The sequence below is a fragment of the Homo sapiens genome, chromosome 15 (genome assembly GCF_000001405.40).
Source record: "Homo sapiens chromosome 15, GRCh38.p14 Primary Assembly".
Taxonomy (NCBI): Eukaryota; Metazoa; Chordata; class Mammalia; order Primates; family Hominidae; genus Homo; species Homo sapiens.
The window spans coordinates 29,401,436-29,421,295 of NC_000015.10; the positions used below are offsets into that span (position 1 = coordinate 29,401,436).

The 19,860-nt window shown below is 42.3% G+C and overlaps 1 protein-coding gene across 7 annotated transcripts in view, besides 1 other annotated feature; it reads right to left on the reverse strand.

Moving 5' to 3' along the window:
- Positions 1-19,860, reverse strand: part of ENTREP2 (endosomal transmembrane epsin interactor 2) — a 557,698-nt gene that overhangs the window by 283,724 nt on the left and 254,114 nt on the right. The gene's annotated exons all lie outside the window — the stretch shown is intronic.
- Positions 6,355-6,546: a silencer, noted in NCBI's record as "fragment chr15:29699994-29700185 (GRCh37/hg19 assembly coordinates)". NCBI's record gives its function as "represses an EF-1alpha promoter that drives an FKBP-Casp9 reporter gene in an ReSE screen in K562 erythroleukemia cells {active_cell/tissue: K562}" and the evidence as "EXISTENCE:reporter gene assay evidence [ECO:0000049][PMID:32094911]".

A 19,860-nucleotide genomic window follows, 5' to 3' on the forward strand; every position in this document is an offset into this window, starting at 1 on the left:
TGAAAACAATAAGATAAGTATTTTTTTCAACGAGACTGGAAACATTTTGGTGAAGTTTTGGTAAAACCCAGTGATGGCAAAGGGCAGAGGGGAAAGAAAGTTCCTCTTAAACATTTCTTATGTTGGCATAATTTGATGTAGCCTTCCTTGGGAACAATTTCATAGCATCTCTCAAAATAAAAACTGTACATACCCATACTCAATGGTTTCAATCCTGGGAATTTAACCTGTGGATATACTAACAGAAACAGGCCAGCCTATTTACACAAGGACGTTTACTACAAAAACCTGAACCAGTGAGTAGCAATAAAGGGCTAGTTAAAAAGACTTCGGTATTTACATAGAACATGAATATGTGCATTATAAAGTTTGAGGTAGATCTATTTATGCCACTGTGGAATGATCTCGAAGATAAATAACTGACAAGCAAGACACAGCCCAGTGTGCACTGAAGGATCTCTGTGTAAACAAGAAGGAATGGATGAATGCATTTACTACATAAACATTGCTCTCTTGGAACGACGCACAAGAAACCTAACAATCGGAAACTAGATTAAGGAGGAGGCGAGGGGGAACTTGCTTTTAAATGTGTAACTTTCTGTAATATTAACCTTTAATCCATGCATGTATTATGTTAAGCATATTTAAAACTCTGCATACCATTGAACCTAGAATTCTACTTCTAAGAATTCCCAGTATTAACCAAAGGATTATGTATTTTGGAAACTGGAAACAACCGAGGTGTGCAGCAAGAGGGAATTACATATATTCATTGGGTCCTTCCTAGTTGCTGCCATTAAATCATATTATAGAAGAATATATATATATATACACACACATATATATGTATATTGTATTGTGTGTGTGTGTGTGTGTGTGTGTGTATATATGTATATTGGAGACAAGGTCTCCCTCTGTAGCCCAGGCTAGAATGCAGTGGCATGATCACAGCTCACTGTGACCTCCACCTCCCATGCTCAAGTGATCCTCCCATTTCGGCCTCCCGAATAGCAGGGAATACAGGCATGCATCACCCGGCTGATTTTTGTATCTTTTGTAGAGAGAGGGTTTCACTATGTTGCCCAGGCTGGTCTCGAACTCCTGGCTCAAGTGATCCCCTCGCTGTGGCCTCCCAAAGTGCTGAGATTAAAGGTGTGAACCACTGTGCCCAGCCACAGGAGAATATTTAATGCCATGTAGAAACGTTCACACTAAGTGAAAGAAGAAGAAGGAAAAGCAGGTTGCAAAATGGTGTGGAAAGTGCATAATTTCCCTTCTGAGAAGCAAACAAATACATAAAGAAAATCAGCAGCTGCATCTCAAAGTTACCATGGTTATCTCCAGACAGTGAGATTTTGGCTTCCTCTTTATTTTTCTGTTTCCCATGGTTGATACACAACAGAGAAAACGCACTATTAAAACCCAAGCCAGCGACAGCTGGTTCTGCCTCCTAAGTGAGGAGGCATAACCCATGCCAGTGGGTACTAACTCCCTCTAATGTTCCCATCAGCAGGCGGGAGAGGTGGACGGGGCCAGACAAATTCCACCACTTCAATGTGAGGGCCGATGGCTTCAGAACAGGTATGGAAAGGCTCTGGAAACAATGGCGGCCAGTCTGAGTGAGAGGCAGCAAACCAGAATCCCTGCACAGTGACGGGGTCCAAGGTGGCAGGATGACCAACAAGGTGTGTAGGGGAGGGACGGGGCCTGATCTGCACAGAAAGTGGTTAGCCAGGTGGCCATGTACACTTCTATGTGGGCTGCTGCTCCTTGATAGAGAATAATGAGAATTTCAGACATAAATGCAAGCTACAAGAATAAATTCCAACCAGGACCCAAACGTATTCAAGAGCCTCTGCCCCCCTCCCTTTCTCAACCCATTGTCAGAAAAAAGTATGAAGTGGGAAGGTAGATTGCCCTGCTTGAAAAAGAGTATTACATAAACCATTTGCAAATGACTTTTATTCTCTTCTTTTAGAAATCTCCTCATGGCACAATAATAAAAACAATGTATTTGTTGATACAGAACATTAATTCCATTAAAATTGCATTATGTGTAATGAAAAGCTATCAGAGTATAATTATGCAAGCAAATTCACAGACTCACATCAACTTTTAAATCCACTGGAACTATACAATAGGAACTGAAGCTGTCTGGTAGACAAATTGCTCTTTCTTTTCCAAATCATTATGAATAAAGGCCACTGTACTAATGTCATAAACCGCACACTATTTATGCAAACTCTCAAATCCAGGACTGTTCCCTAGAGGTGCCTCTGCCTGGTTTTTCCCAGGACCAACCTGTTCTCAGACCCAGAGGCTGTGCTCCCATTCCTGACTTAGCCCCAAAGCAGGCTCCCTTCTCGGAATTCTTGCCCAGAGAGCCCAGTTGTACCCTGAAGGGAGCCTGGTTGCACCCCCAAAGGGTTGCCTGAATCCGCACACTCTCAGCCCTCTGCCCCAGCCTGGGAGCTGTGCTCTGCTCTGCTGCCCCTGGCTGGCCGCTGCAGGGCCCGCAGGCTGCTCTCCCTCCTCCCTGCTGCAGGTACTGCACCCAGGTGGCCCTCCTGCCATCTCTGCTCACACCAGGCAGCGCCACCCACAGAGACTGGAGTGCAGAGCCCATCTCCTGTCCCCACGAGGTTCTGAGAGGAGGCAGAGGGCCACCAGGACAGGGGAGGAAGGGGGCACGAGGCTGGATTCCTGCAAGGGCACAGGAGTACATCCAGTGCCGCCCACTCCCGCTGATGATAGCCCCGGTGAAAAGACACACCCTGGGAAAGGGACTCAGTCTATGCCCCTCACTCATCACCTATGTCCATCCCTGGGTTTAGACACTTCTAGGATCCCCAAACACAGTAGGGATATGGACAACTCGTGCCATGCTGGTGACATGAAGGGAACCCCCCCATCTGACTAAGTGGTCCCAGCACCCTTGTAATAGCCGTCTCCACTCCCCAGTCCTGCTCCCCTTTCCCCTCACTGGCACAGGCAGAACTCCCCTGTCTGGTCAGTTCTGGGTCGCTGAGTCCCAGGAACCCCCTTCAGCACCCAGCAGGCTGACACTGATCTTACTCCTGCTTTGCAGAAGGAACACCCTCCTGCCTTGGCCGCCCCCTTGCTTCCTCCCCCACTCACACTCCCCAGCTGCTCGTTAGTAAGGGCTCCCTCGGCCCATCATCTCCCCATACCTCCCCTCCCCTCCTCGCAGTATCTATCCTGGGAGAGCCTGTTCCCTCCCTGGCTCCATCCTCCAGGGTACCCTAAGCCTCTCTCAGCCTCTCTTCCTCCCAGATCCCTGTGTCCACCCACTGGCCTGATGGAAACATGACGGATGCCTCCCCAGCAGCCTAACTCAATACAGCCAGTGCTCCTGGAGCCTGCCCTACCTCCACAGGAGGCCCCACTCACCCAGATGTGCCTGTCAGGGTCCCAGATACCCCACGTCCCTCCCCCACCCAATCTCACTCTCAAATCCATCCAAATCAGGGACATCTACTGACCAGCTCACCCTGGGCCCCGGCCCCCAGTTCCTCCCTCCACCTGGTACCTGGCTGCCACCTGGCAGGAGAGCTACTGTAAGAGCCCTACAAAGCCCTCCCTGCCTGGACTCCTGGTCACTTCTAACCTGTTTTCCACACTGCAGAATCATCTTTTTAAAATGCAAACCTGGCTGGGCGTGGTGGCTCACACCTGTAATCCCAGCACTTTGGGAGGCCGAGGCGGGCAGATCACCTGAGGTCAGGAGTTCGAGACCAGCCTGGCCAACATGGTGAAACCCTGCCTCTACTAAAACTATAAAAATTAGCCAGGCATGGTGGCATATGCCTGTAATCCCAGCTACTCAGGAGGCTGAGGCAGGTGAATCGTTTGAACCTGGGAGGTGGAGGTTGCAGTGAGCCAAGATTGCACCATTGCACTCCAGCCTGGGTGACAGAGCAAGACTCCGTCTCCAGAAAAAAAAAAAAAAAATCTGACCATGTCACTCGCCCCACTCAATGACACTGTGCCCTTTAGGGGCTTTCTTTATCCCTTGGAGTAAGTCCCACATCTTCCAGCTCAGAAGGTCCCTGCCTACCCTTCCTGCTTCATCCAGGTCACTCCATGGGTGGGGTCACCTCTGCCTCCCCCTCAACCCCCAAACAGCTAATTACCCAGACTGGGTAGCAAACAGCTACAGGACCACGGGGCTACGGCACCAGCACCCCACAGTGCCGCTCACTCATGCACCTGCCTTTGGCTGCTCAGCAGGTCCTGGGGGCCCAGAGCACGCTTGTTTCATCTGCACAGTGCCCACCGGAGCAAGGGCCTGGTGCCATGGCACACATGAGAGTGAAGGCTGTCGGCACGCACAAGGTTGGCCAGCGCCCACCTCCGGGCGGGAGACTTTGTGCCCATGCTCCTGACCAGCTTCACAGCCCCACGGAGGCAGCACGGTCCTGAGGGGCAGTGTGCTGACTTTTCCCCTTTATTTTATAACCAAAACAATGCAAGTTCAATATAGAACAAGTTAGGAAAGGCAGATAAGCTGAAGGAAATAATGAAACCATCTACATTCACACGGCTTCTCCTCTAACTCCTGTTAACATGTGGCTGGGTTCTATTTAAATCGGTTTTTATAAAAATTGGGTCATCATGTTGTCAATAACCTTTCCACATTACCATATAATGTGTCATGATCATGATGGCACACCCTGTAGGTATTCACTGACATCACCTTAATGGCTGAATGGGACTCCATTGTATAAAAATACAAAATACTCATGACCTATTATTCTATAAACATTTGGAATCACAAACGTATGTGAAAAATATATTTTTTAACAAGCTTATGAAAAGATAAACATAAGCCTGTAATCCCAGCACTTTGGGAGGCCAAGGCGGGTGGATCACTTGAGGCCAGGAGTTCAAGACCAGTTTGGCCAACATGGCGAAACCGCATCTCTACTAAAAATACAAAAAATTAGTCAAGCATCATAGCAGGTGCCTGTAATCTCAGCTACTCGGATGGCTGAGGTAAGAGAATCACTTGAACCTGGGAGGCAAAGGTTGCAGTGAGCCAAGATCATGCCACTGCACTCCAGCCTGGGCGACAGAGCGAAACTCTGTTTCAAAAATTAAAAAAAAGAATATTAAAAAATATATTAAATATATGAATATATTTTTAAAAGTATTTCATTTTTTCTGATCTAGTCATTCTTACACAATCTGAAGTCAAAATTGTTCTGTAGAGAAGCTGCCACTTACAACAAATAGTTTTGCTTGTTTCTTCAGTTTACTTTCACATTTCTAAACTTGATGCTTTGACTGACTTCTGACTATGAAAATTGAGGATTCTCACTTTCCCCTCCAACACACAGCAGACACAGCCAAATGCACACACTCGCTCTCCCTCTCCTCCTCACTTTCCCAATCCAAATATAGCAACAACCCACCTTTTGATATTTCAGCATTCAGTATTGGCATTATTATGACTACGTAAAATGTCACCCATAACTGAGCCACAAGGAGTACTACAATTACAGTGCCTTTAAAAAAAATCACATCACAATATGTAACTGGGGTTAATTGCCTCATTTTTCACTTACATCTTCTACACAGTCACACATGATTTAACAACGGAGCTATGTTCTGAGAAGTGCGCCCTTAGGTGAGTCCATCATTGTGTGAACCTCACAGAATGCACTTACACAAACCTAGATGGCGAAGCCCACTACATACCTAGGCTGTATGGTACGGCCTACTGCTCCCAGGCTACAAAACTGGGCAGCATGTTACTGTCCTGAACACTGTAGGCAACTGTAATACAATGGTGAGTACTTTGTATTTAACACATCTCAACATAATAACGGTACAGTAAAAACATGGTATTAGAATCTCATGGGACCACCATTGTATACACAGTCCGTCATTGAGGGAAGCGTTGGTGTGTGGTGTACGACTGTATATCTATCAAAAATTCATCCTAGCTCTCCAACAGCCCTGAGGTCTCCCTCACCATGTATGAGCACATGAAGTCTATCAAAAAATGAGGGAGCAAACCAAGAAAAGAGAAGACATGGGCTCAAGAAAACAGAGGCTCTAGCCCAGGAGAGAGGCGAAGGGGAGTCGAAGACCCAGGGAAGTCCCTAGGAGCCATAGTGCACCAGGCCAGGGCACAGCCAGGTAAGGAGGGAGCAGGTGACCTGGGTCCAAGAAGGACATATCTCAGCAAACCAGAGTGGTTTGCTCCCCATTTTTTTGGGTTGGGGGGAGCCCGAGTCTCTCTGTCACCCATGCTGGAGTGCAGTGGCTCGATCTCCGCTCACTGCAACATACACCTCCCAATCAAGCGATTCTCCTGCCGCAGCCTCCCGAGTAGCTGGGACTACAGGCACCCACCAGCACACCCCACTAATTTTTTGGGGTTTTTTTTGCATTTTTAATGGAGATAGCGTTTCACCATGTTGGCCAGGCTGGTCTCGAACTCCTGACCTCCAGGTGATCCACCCACCTCGGCCTCCCAAAGTGCTGGGATTACAGGCCTGAGCCACTGCACCTGGCCCACATTTTTTGATAGACCATATCCTCCACTAACTTTCAGAGAAAGGATTTACAGTAGGTGAAATCTGAGGGACCCTACACGTTTAACATGTAAGGACAGAAATTTTAGGTTGCAGATTATTTTGTCTCAGAACTTTTTAGGCAACGATCTAATATGTGCTGATCTCCATGGTGGCTCCAGAGTGGTCTGATTCATCAGCAGATACTGGCAAGGACCAGCTGTTTACCAGGCACTGTTCTAGGCACAGGGGATCCAGCAGTTTAAAAAAAAGACATGCATAGTGCCTCCCTCATGACATCCTGGGGAGCAGCAGAGGAGGGAGACACAAAAATAAGAGTGAAACCACATGGCATGTTACACAGAATGAAGAAAAATAAGGTGGGAAAGTGTGGGCTCAGGAGCTGGGAAATCCTGGGCTTGTAGGGGTAACAGATCCCAAAAGGAGGAACGCCCTGGTGGGATGGATGCCGGTTCCTGATGGGGATATACAGGACTCTACAATGGTGAGACGGTCTTTGTTTTTATTCACTGGGTGAAGTATGAGAAACTGATCTGAATCTGCAATCTCCTTTCAGTTCTGAGAATAACTCCTGTATCATTTTGCAATGATGATTCTACTTCCTTTGGTCTCTGCAAAGCCTATTTATATTCTCTGGCTGACCCTCTCATTTACTGTCTTCCCTATTTCCAACTTCCTGGTCTTTTTTTGTTGTTGTTCAGTTTTCTGAGAGATTTCCCCCAATTTCATCTTTCAAGCCTTTGATGATTTTTAAACTTTATATTCTGAAATTTTTCAAATAGAAAAGTACAAAAATAAGAATGTTCAATCCATCTACTTAGCCTGTCACGTTAACAATTTTACTATATTTGCTTCATCTCTTTTTCTTTGCTTTTCAAGATAAATTACAAACCATGACATTTTAAGTTTTTCAATATGCATACCTAAAATACAAGGACATTTTTCTATATAACCTGTGAGGCCATTAACACATCTAAAATATACTAATTATTAATAGATCATCTTTGTATGATTTCATACCCAATTCCTATTCAAATTTCCCAGATTGTCCCCAGAATAACTTCTTGCAGTTAATTTGTTCAAACTAGCTTCCAATGCTTAGGAATTTGTTATGTGCCTACATGGTTGTAATTTTGTTAAGTAGCTTTAAATTTTCAGCTTGTTCTTTAACCCACATGTCTCCGGTTTTCAGGGTAGGCAAGGGTTTTAATACAATTATGGTTTCATCCCTTCACACATCCCACATCTCTTTCTTTGCTAGTATAATCTAGAATTTTAGATTCAAACTCATATTACATTGTTTTCATATTATACTCAGTATCTTTTTTCCTTTATAAAAATTAATTTTTCTTTTTTTTTTGGAGATGGAGTCTCGCTTTGTTGCCCAGGCAATCTCGGCTCACTGCAACCTCCACCTCCTGAGTTCAAGCAATTCTCATGCCTCAGCCTCCTGAGTAGCTGGGATTACAAGTAGCTGCCACCACACCCGGCTAATTTTTGTATTTTTAGTAGAGACAGGTTTCACCATGTTGGCCAGGCTGGTCTCGAACTCCTGACCTCAAGTGATCTGCCCACCTTGGCCTCACAAAGTGCTGGGATTACAGGCATGAGCCACCGTGCCCGGCCTATTTTTCTTTTTTTTTTTTTAAAGACAGGGTCTCACCGTGTTACCCAGGCTGGTCTTGAACACCCTGGCTCAAGTGATCCTCCTGCCACAACCTCCGAGTAGCTGGGACTTCAGGCATGAGCCACCTCGCCTGGCTATATTCTGTGTCTTTCGATGTTTTTTAAATTTCCACTTTCCAGTTATAACTAGTTTCAGTGTTCTGCATTAGTTCTGCTTAGCCATGATTCCACCAACTCAAGCTGCTAACTTAATAGCTCAAACGTTGAATGACATCTTCACGAGACTCCTGTGAGGGTCCCCAAAGCCCCCGATACCTGAGCATATCTTCAGGGCTCCCAGGACCAATATGGACTGCTCGCCTGCTCAGCTATCATCACGTCTGAAGAGCAGGTCGCCCTAGCGCAGGTCTGGATTCACAGACTTTCCCCTCAATCACTGCAGATGCTGCGTGCCTGCCCTCTGCTTTATCATAGCAGAGAACTCTAAGGCCTGTCTCTTTGTTTGTATGTTTGCTTTGCTGAAAATAAGGTCCCCTACCTAGATGCTTGTGGAATCCCATTCTTGAATTTGCATTGATAATTTCCTTTCCTTTCTCTCTGAAACTTTTCTGGCATACTTAGTTCATCTCCGCAAGACAGTGTGTTTGGTGTTGCTTGTTTTTGCACTTTACAAAAACAGTGTCATAGAAAAAACATAGTATTTTTTCATGTGGTCTCACAGGCAGAGAACTAATTGGCTCCTGCACTGCAGGTCTCACTCCCCTGCAGGGGCTGCTCTGGTGGAAGCCAGAGCAGGGCTGCCCCAGGAGCAGCCCTGGGGCAACAGAGACTTGAGGCGACGGGTCTCGGGGAGGCAAGCCTGAAATGTGCTCGGTAACTGCACTCCAGTCCCCTCAGGAGCCAGCACGATCACCCGCCGTAGCCAACTGGGTAACACACTTGGACTAGCTATCCTTCCTCCCTGCCTCCCTCTGCCTTCCTGACTGTGCTCTGCGCAAACAAGAGAGATTCCTGCTAGTCCTGCTCTCAGTCTGCTTTCAGGGTCATCCAGGCTAAGAACATTCACGTTCCTAAGATTCCTTTATCATGTTGTTGCACACAGCTATAGTTTATTCACTTTCACTGTGGTATAACAACAGTCCATTTCGTTAGACCACAGAACTTATTTTGTTTGTTTTTGAGATGGAGTCTTGCTCTGTTGCCCAGGCTGGAGTGCAGTGGCACAATCTCAGCTCACTGCAACCTCCGCCTCCCAGGTTCAAGCAATTCTCCTGCCTCAGCCTCCCGAGTAGCTGGGATTACAGGCGTGCGCCACCGCGCCCAGCTAATTTTTTTATTTTTAGTAGAGACGTGGTTTCACCATGTTGGTCAGGCTGGTCTCGAATTCCTGACCTGGTGATCCGCCGCCTCAGCCTCCCAAACTGCTGAGATTACAGGCATGAGCCACTGCGCCTGGCCTATATAATTTATTAATATCCCATTCTTCTGCTGATGAACATCTGCACTGTTTCCAGTTTTTGCTATCATGTACTATTCGTTGATGACTATCCTGGTGCACGTGGGCAGGAGTTTCTGCAAGGTATATGCTTATGAGTAGAACTGCAGGTCACGGTATGTGTGCATGTTCAGCTATAGAAAAGAATGCCAAGTTGTATTCCACTGTATTCCAGAGTGGTCCCACCCATTTCCACTCCCACCAAGAATTCTCCTGATCCACATTCTGTCCAAATTGGCATTGTCAAACTTCTTAATTGAGGCCAATCTAGTAGGTGTAAACGATTTCTCTCCACAGTTGAATTTTACATGTCCATGCTGACTGGGGCATGTGTTGACACGTTTATTGACCCTACATATGCCCACTTCCATGAAATGCCTATGTAAGCATTTTGTCCACTTTTCTATTGAGTTTTGTGCCTTTATCCTATTGATTTGTGGGAGTTCACTACATGAAATCATAATCAGTTATGTGTATTGCAAGCATCTCCTTCCAGTTGTGTTTTTGCTTTCTTCGTGATGTCTTTCAATAAAAAGAATGTTTAAATGTACTTACCTTTCAAACATATTTTTCAGCTTTGGCGTTTCTCTGTCTTGTTTAAAAAATTCTTTCCAAATTTCTTACATCTTACATTTTATTCTGTAAAGTTCCAATGTTTTGCTTTCACAGTTAAGTGTTTAAACCACCTGACACTGATTCTCTTGCATGGATAGCCAATGATCCCAGAACCATTTATGGTAGACTCCCTGAATTCTGCTCCTGGCCTGCCCTGCATCGTTTCATATATGCTTCAGGCTCTATCTTATGTTTTGCTGATTGCATTGTCTTCCTTTGCACCTACACTTACTGTCTATAGCTTAAAAATGAGTCTTATACGTGGTAGCATAAATTCCCCCCAAATTCTTCAGGAGCCTCTTGACTTTCCTTGGCCTATGGCTCTGTCATATAATTTTACAATTAGGTTGTTAAGTCTTACCCTCCCAACAAAAACATTTGTCAGGATTTTTAATGAAATCAATTGAATCTGATTTGGAAAAAAAAAACAGCCATCTTCACAGTATTGAGTTAGCTTAGACTAGCTCTCTCAATATGGTATATCCCTCCATTTATTTAGGTTTTATTTAATGTCTTTCAATAAAGTTTTACACTTTTCTGCATATTCAAATTACATATTTTTTCTTAGATATAGTTCTAAGTTCCTTATTTTTGTGCTATTGTAAATAATGTCCTTAAACAATTTACATTTTCTCTCTGTGGCTGAAGTATAAAGATACAATTGATTTTTGGTATATTAACCTTCTAGCTAACCACCTTGCCAAACTCATTATTTCTAATTGATTGTAGATGGCTTATTCCTGATTTTAAAGGGAATACTTTCAATGTTTCCTCATTAAGAATAAAACAGTTCTATTAAGTTTGTATATGTATTTTTTCTATAACTTAAGTTCTGTTACGTTTTTCTATAAATCTGTCCATTACATCTGAGTTATCAAATGTGTAGTCTCTCATCAACTTTTTGATCTCTTCTGTATCTGTAATTACATCTTCCTTTTCATTCATAATAATGGTTATTTGTACCTTCTTTTTTGTTCTTACACATTCTTACCATATTTGTCTATTTTGTTAGAATTTTCAAGGAGCTACCTTTTGGCTATGTTTATCCTCTTTATTGCAGCCTTATATTCTATTTCGTTAATTTCTATTCTTATGTATTATGTTCTTTAAATTTATTCATTCTTCTTTTTCTAAGTAAATCTGATCACTTCATTCCTATTCTTATGTATTGTGTTCTTTAAATTTATTCATTCTTCTTTTTCTAAGTAAATCTGATCACTTCATTCATTTTCAATTGTCAATCTTTCTAGGTACCTAAGGCTATTCATTTGCATTACAATTTCTTCTTTGATTAATGAGTTATTAAAATCTTTTTTTAATTTCCAAATATATTAGGGTCATTTATCCTTTTGTTATTTATTTCTAACTTAATTAAATTGTGGTCAGAGAATGTGATCTCCTTGATATTCATTCTTTGAAATGTTTTGATATTTACTCTACAAACTAAAAAACTGCAAGATCAATTTCTTAAAGATAGTCCCTGTTTACATGAGAACATCTCTGAAAGCTGCAGAATTCAGTATATGTAAATTATACCTGGTTGTGTTCTTTAAGTTATTACATAATTTTTAATTTTCTGTCTGATAGATCAACAATCAATATGTATTGAAATTTCCTTTTCATGACAGATTGATCGATTTCTACCTCCATTTTTATGTGTTTTTTCTTTATACGCTTTGCAGTGGTTTAATCAAAAGTATATAAGCATAAAATTGTACCTATTTGTTATATGTAATGAGCCTCTCTCTAACAAGGCTTTTTGACTGAAAGTCGATTTTGTCTGATATTAAAATGGCTCTGCCAATATTCTTTTGGTTGACATCTGCCCACCCAAACAACTACACAAAAATCTACAATTTCCAAACTACATTGTGACCAGGGTTCATTCATCACAACCCCTACATACGTACGGTATTTTGCTTGTGAACTCTCTTCCCCTCTTCCTACCAAATTTTCTTACAGCTTTGAAATTTGCCTGGACTTCCTAAAATGACAATGTCCCAGGGAAATGTTCAATAATCTGGGTAAGGAGAGACACACATAGGCTCAAAATAAAGGGATGGAGGAAGATCTACCAAGCAAATGGAAAACAAAAAAAGGCAGGGGTTGCAATCCTGGTCTCTAATAAAACAGACTTTAAACCAACAAAGATCAAAAGAGACAAAGAAGGTCATTACATAATGGTAAAGGGATCAATGCAACAAGAAGAGCTAACTATCCTAAATATATATGCACCCAATACAGGAGCACCCAGATTCATAAAGCAAGTCCTTAGTGACCTACAAAGAGACTTAGACTCCCACACAATAATAATGGGAGACTTTAACACCCCACTGTCAACATTAGACAGATCAACGAGACAGAAAGTTAACAAGGATATCCAGGAATTGGACTCAGCTCTGCACCAAGCGGACCTAATAGACATCTACAGAACTCTCCACCCCAAATCAACAGAATATATATTCTTTTCAGCACCATACCACACCTATTCCAAAATTGACCACATAGTTGGAAGTAAAGCACTCCTCAGCAAATGTAAAAGAACAGAAATTATAAGGAACCGTCTCTCAGACCATAATGCAATCAAACTAGAACTCAGGATTAAGAAACTCACTCAAAACCACTCAACTACATGGAAACTGAACAACCTGCTCCTGAATGACTACTGGGTACATCACGAAATGAAGGCAGAAATAAAGATGTTCTTTGAAACCAACGAGAACAAAGATACAACATACCAGAATCTCTGGGACACATTCAAAGCAGTGTGTAGAGGGAAATTTATAGCACTAAATGCCCACAAGAGAAAGCAGGAAAGACCTAAAATTGACACCCTAACATCACAATTAAAAGAACTAGAGAAGCAAGAGCAAACACATTCAAAAGCTAGCAGAAGGCAAGAAATAACTAAGATCAGAGCAGAACTGAAGGAGATAGAGACACAAAAACCCTTCAAAAAATCAATGAATCCAGGAGCTGGTTTTCTGAAAAGATCAACAAAATTGACAGACTGCTAGCAAGACTAATAAAGAAGAAAAGAGAGAAGAATCAAATAGATGCAATAAAAAATGATAAAGGGGATATCACCACCGATCCCACAGAAATACAAACTACCATCAGAGAATACTATAAACACCTCTACACAAATAAACTAGAAAATCTAGAAGAAATGGATAAATTCCTCGACACATACACCCTCCCAAGACTAAACCAGGAAGAAGTTGAATCTCTGAATAGACAAATAATAACAGGCTCTGAAATTGAGGCAATAATTAATAGCTTACCAACCAAAAAAAGTCCAGGACCAGATGGATTCACAGCCGAATTCTACCAGAGGTACAAGGAGGAGCTGGTACCATTCCTTCTGAAACTATTCCAATCAACAGAAAAACAGTGAATCCCCCCTAACTCATTTTATGAGGCCAGCATCATCCTGATACAAAGTCTGGCAGAGACACAACAAAAAAAGAGAATTTTACACCAATATCCCTGATGAACATTGATGCAAAAATCCTCAATAAAATACTGGCAAACCGAATCCAGCAGCACATCAAAAAGCTTATCCACCATGATCAAGTGGGCTTCATCCCTGGGATGCAAGGCTGGTTCAACAAGTGAAAATCAATAAACGTAATCCAGCATATAAACAGAACCAAAGACAAAAACCACGATTATCTCAATAGATGCAGAAAAGGCCTTTGACAGAATTCAACAACCCTTCATGCTAAAAACTCTCAATAAATTAGGTATTGATGGGATGTATCTCAAAATAATAAGAGCTATCTATGACAAACCCACAGCCAATATCATACTGAATGGGCAAAAACTGGAAGCATTCCCTTTGAAAACTGGCATAAGACAGGGATGCCCTCTCTCACCACTCCTATTCAACATAGTGTTGGAAGTTCTGGCCAGGGCAGTCAGGCAGGAGAAGGAGATAAACGGCATTCAATTAGGAAAAGAGGAAGTCAAATTGTCCCTGTTTGCAGATGACATGATTGTATATCTAGAAAACCCCGTCGTCTCAGCCCACAATCTCCTTAAGCTGATAAGCAACTTCAGCAAAGTCTCAGGATACAAAATCAATGTGCAAAAATCACAAGCATTCTTATACACCAATAACAGACAGACAGCCAAATCATGAGTGAACTCCCATTCACAACTGCTTCAAAGAGAATAAAATACCTAGAAATCCAACTTACAAGGGATGTGAAGGACCTCTTCAAGGACAACTACAAGCCACTGCTCAATGAAATAAAAGAGGATACAAACAAATGGAAGAACATTCCATGCTCATGGGTAGGAAGAATCAGTATCGTGAAAATGGCCATAATGCCCAAGGTAATTTATAGATTCAATGCCATCCCCATCAAGCTACCAATGGCTTTCTTCACAGAATTGGAAAAAACTACTTTAAAGTTCATATGGAACCAAAAAAGAGCCTGCATTGCCAAGTCAATCCTAAGCCAAAAGAACAAAGCTGGAGGCATCACGCTACCTGACTTCAAACTATACTACAAGGCTACAGTAACCAAAACAGCATGGTACTGGTACCAAAACAGAGATATAGACCAATGGAATACAACAGAGCCCTCAGAAATAATGCCGCGTATCTACAACCATCTGATCTTTGACTAACCTGACAAAAACGAGAAATGGGGAAAGGATTCCCTATTTAATAAATGGTGTTGGGAAAACTGGCTAGTCATATGCAGAAAGCTGAAACTGGATCTCTTCCTTACACCTTATACAAAAATTAATTCAAGGTGGATTAAAGACTTACATGTTAGACCTAAAACCATAAAAACCCTAGAAGAAAACCTAGGCAATACCATTCAGGACATAGGCATGGGCAAAGACTTCATGTCTAAAACACCAAAAGCAATGGCAACAAAAGCCAAAATTGACAAATGGGATCTAATTAAACTAAAGAGCTTCTGCACGGCAAAAGAAACTACCATCAGAGTGAACAGGCAACCTACAGAATGGGAGAAAATTTTTGCAATCTACTCATCTGACAAAGGGCTCATATCCAGAATCTACAATGAACTCCAACAAATTTACAAGAAGAAAACAAACAACCCCATCAACAAGTGGGCAAAGGATATGAACAGACACTTCTCAAAAGACATTTATGCAGCCAGAAAACACATGAAAAATTGCTCATCATCACTGGCCATCAGAGAAATGCAAATCAAAACCACAATGAGATACCATCTCACACCAGTTAGGATGGCGATCATTAAAAAGTCAGGAAACAACAGGTGCTGGAGAGGGTGTGGAGAAATAGGAACACTCTTTCACTGTTAGTGGGACTGTAAACCAGTTCAACCATTGTGGAAGTCAGTGTGGCTATTCCTCAGGGATCTAGAACTAGAAATACTATTTGACCCAGCCATCCCATTACTGGGTATATACCCAAAGGATTATAAATCATGCTGCTATAAAGACACATGCACACGTATGTTTACTGCAGCACTATTCACAATAGTAAAGACTTGGAACCAACCCAAATATCCAACAATGATAGACTGGATTAAGAAAATGTGGCACATATACACCATGGAATACTATGCAGCCATAAAAAATGATGAGTTCTTGTCCTTTGTAGGGACATGGATGAAGCTGGAAACCATCATTCTCAGCAAACTATCGCAAGGACAAAAAACCAAACACCGCATGTTCTCACTCAGGTGGGAATTGAACAATGAGAACACATGGACACAGTAAGGGGAACATCACACACCGGGGACTGCTGTGGGGTTAGGGGAGCAGAGAGAGATAGCATTAGGAGATATATCTAATGCTGAATGACGAGTTAATGGGTGCAGCACACCAACATGGCACATGTATACATATGTAACAAACCTGCACGTTGTGCACAGGTACCCTAAAACTTAAAGTATAATAATAATAAAATTTAAAATAATAATAATAATAATCTACGTAAAAAAAGAAATGTTGATGTGGCTGAAATATATATGTATGTATCTTGCAAATATAATTCATGGCTATTTTCCATATAAATCATCTCAAATCAAGATTTGATTTTCTCTAACAGATCTGGTCTGAAAAGTATAGTTATGAACAGGAGTGGAGTCATGGGCATTCACTGCTTCTTTAATTGCATTTTCTGGAAAACTCTACAGTTCTGTTTTTAACATTTGATCACACCATCAGTAGAGCTACATTCCACAAAGCAATTATGTTTTGCTCAGCAAAATATCAGAATGGAATAATATGCTGCATATTAACAACTGTAAGAATAGAAGCCATTTAGAACATTTTAGAATAATGATTGAGGTCATTTGTTCAGAATTTACAGCAAATGTGTTTTAAAGACCCACTATCATGGAGTCCACTGTGAAGTCTAAGTTATGCACATCAGAAACTACAAATGCACAAGGAGCCCAGTATTTTATCAAAACATTAATATCAGCACTATTAAAAACCAAACCTTTTATCCAGCACCCCCTGCTTACCAGCTCTCCCCATGTACAAATGCATTAGCATTTAATGCAATATGCTTTCCTTTTCTTTAAGGGCTTTATCCAGATATCTAGAAAGTAGTAAAGTGGTAGCATTTAACTAACACAGGAGTGGCAAACAGGTGGCAACTCCCTTCCTCGACCCAGAAGGACAAGGCTCATCTATCACCACACCCTCCGTGCAGAGTACAGAAGCCATCTTAGAATCCTTCTAACACAGTATTCCAGGCACCATGACTTAGAATTTGTGTTGGCATGCCAGATCCCACCTACCCGAAGGTGCTATATAAATAGGCTAGGGCAGCTAGGGGAATACAGTTATATGTCTTATTCACAATTCTAAAAGGCAGTTCGTGGTTGCACAGGTCTTTCGCTTCCAGGTCGGATGGAGTAGTTAGCAGCTCATCAGTGTCCCCAGTAAGAACAACAGGAAAAGCTCAATAAAATATGGAAATCAACTCTCTGAAAATGGCTGAGAGTGACAAAATTCAAACAGGCTTGAGAGAGGAATGAACCTCCCTCCAAGAAGGGAGCTAAACTCTGAAGCTTCTTTTATCCTAGAAGTGTTCCAATTCTGGGCACAAGCAGCAGCCTGAGAACTCTGGCTATGCACCTGCTGAAAGCCAGTTCTGGGGGAAACCCCAGCAGGGCTATGGTTGGAGACTTGGGGTCCAAGCACATGGTTGGGTTTTCCCCTGGGATAGCTTTCCAATTCTGAGGGTAAGAGACTTAAATTTTAACAAAAAGCCACTGGAAGGCAGCCTCAAAATAAAAATTGTAATTAGGAAACACAAGAGAGAGGGGCTGTGACAAATATAGAAGACTCTCATTTGAAAACCCTAAAAGGCAAGGACAAACAACAGCAAGACTGAAGCTTACCAGGGCTGCAAACCAGCTCTGAGTCAGCACAGTCCTTGCTTCAATGAAGGTGATGAACACCAGATAATCTGGACAATAAAGTTAGCTGGCTGACTTCAAAACAATTATAGTTATTACGCCCAAGAAAACAGAGAAAAAGATGAATAAAATAAATGAAAAGAAGAATTTCACCAGATAACTATAATTGGTAAAAATTAATAATCAAAGAGAAAATATAAAACTAAAAAATACAACATCTAAAATGAGTAACTCAACAGATGGGTTTAACAGCAAATTAGATACAGAAGATAAGACTAGTAAACAGCAAGACAGGTCAATTAAAACGAATACCCAAACTAAAACCTAAGGAGGAAAAAAAAATTTAAGAGGATTAGAGAGACACAGGACACAATGAATGGGCCTAGTGTATGTGATTCAAGTCCCATTCAGAGAAAAAGAGAACAGGGTAGAAGAAATGATGGCCAAGGATTTTCTAAAACAAACAAAACAGCAAATCTCAAATCGTTCAGTAAGCGCTGCAAAGCTAAGCTGGCCATTTACACAAAAGAAAAAGAAACCTAAATAAAAGGAAAAATCTTAAAAGCAGCAAAGGAGCAGATCTGGACGCACATATTACCTTCAAAGAAGTAACAAAAAGACTGGTAGTCATTTTCTAACAAAATTGATGGAAACCACCTTTTAAGTCCTGAAAGGAAGTAGCTGCCAACCTAGAATTCTATCACCAAGAAAATATCCTTCAAAAAAGGAAGCTAAAATAAAAATGTTTCTGAGACAATCACAGCAGAATTTGTCACCAGCAAACTTACACTAAAGAAAAGAAAAATGACCTAGAGAAAAACCCAAATAAGGACGAAGAAATGAAGATTGATGAAAGGGATGAATGAATATGGACTGCGACCAAACTTTGGAAGTTATGAAAAGGACAGACAGGCAGTACTGATTTAGCCAAATTAAGAAAGATGGATCCTAAAGCAGCAACAGCAGCAGCAGAGAAGAGAGAACAACCCATTGTGCACCTCAGAACCCTCAAAAGATTCAGGCACGAGTCTCAATGGGCACCTCTGGAAGTGGGGCTAATTTGGTGTAGAAGGCTTGAGGGATTTGGGGGCTAATCAAGGAAGTAGATATGCTGAAAGGAAGCAGTAACACATGCAAGCTTTCTTAAAAGGTTATGTGGGAGGGGAAGTCCCTCACAGTATGACATCCACAGGCTTCAAGCAAGGGGTCTATCCAGAAGGGGAAGAGGACAAGGGAACTCCTGGGGAAAGGGGGTCAGAGAGGAGGCTGACATAGCCAGGTGACAGTCTGTAGCAGCACAGCAGGGGGTCCCAGGGTCAGAGAGCTTTGATGGTAGCAGTGGCTTGGAGCTTTATAACCACAAGGCTCTATCTTACCAGAGGCCAGCTCACCGGGTATGCAAAGCAGTCAGGCTCTTAATGGCTAAAAATCTGCTAATTCAGGCTATTTGAAAAAAATTAGACGTGTAAAAATTTGAGTTTGGTACCAGTGGGCTTCTGAGCTAACAGATCTCAGTCTGCTATGAAGAAATAAACAACCTAGAGGCCAATATATAGTGGCCACCTTTGGCCTCTATATGACACTTGGGAAGGAGGGCTAAGATAAGGAATGGAAATTTGGACAGCTACTTGAAAACAGATTTCCCAGCCCTGCACCCTAGCAGAATTCTGAAGGACTGTTCCCCTAAAAACATCAAAACAGGTCTGTGCTGTGGACTGACCAGCCCCAGACCACAATGCAGCAACATGAGGCAACAGAAGGCATTCTGAGGCTGGTCCCACCATGCCCTCTGCCCCTGCAGCATCTTTTTAGGTGAAACTAATGCAGAATGTGCTCCACAAAACAAGGCAGCAAAGTCAGAATGAGGAAGACCTGAGATGCAGAAAATGACCCAGTGGAATTCCAGAGATGGCAGAAAGAGGGAACCCGGGCTGACAGCTGTGTACAGGCCTAGAAAGCCACCAACCCAAGAGAAGAAAATGAGTCCTGGAGAAGAAAATGGGAACAGAAAGATAACCTACTAGAGCTGAGCTGAGTCAGTATTACTGAGAGGCTATTGCAAGAGGAGCTATTGATTAAGGCGAGGCAAGTACTGACTTCAAGAGTAAGTTAGTGAAAGTGAACATACCACTCTACACAGCTCTGCAGTGAATAATATCTGCATAGGTATAAATCC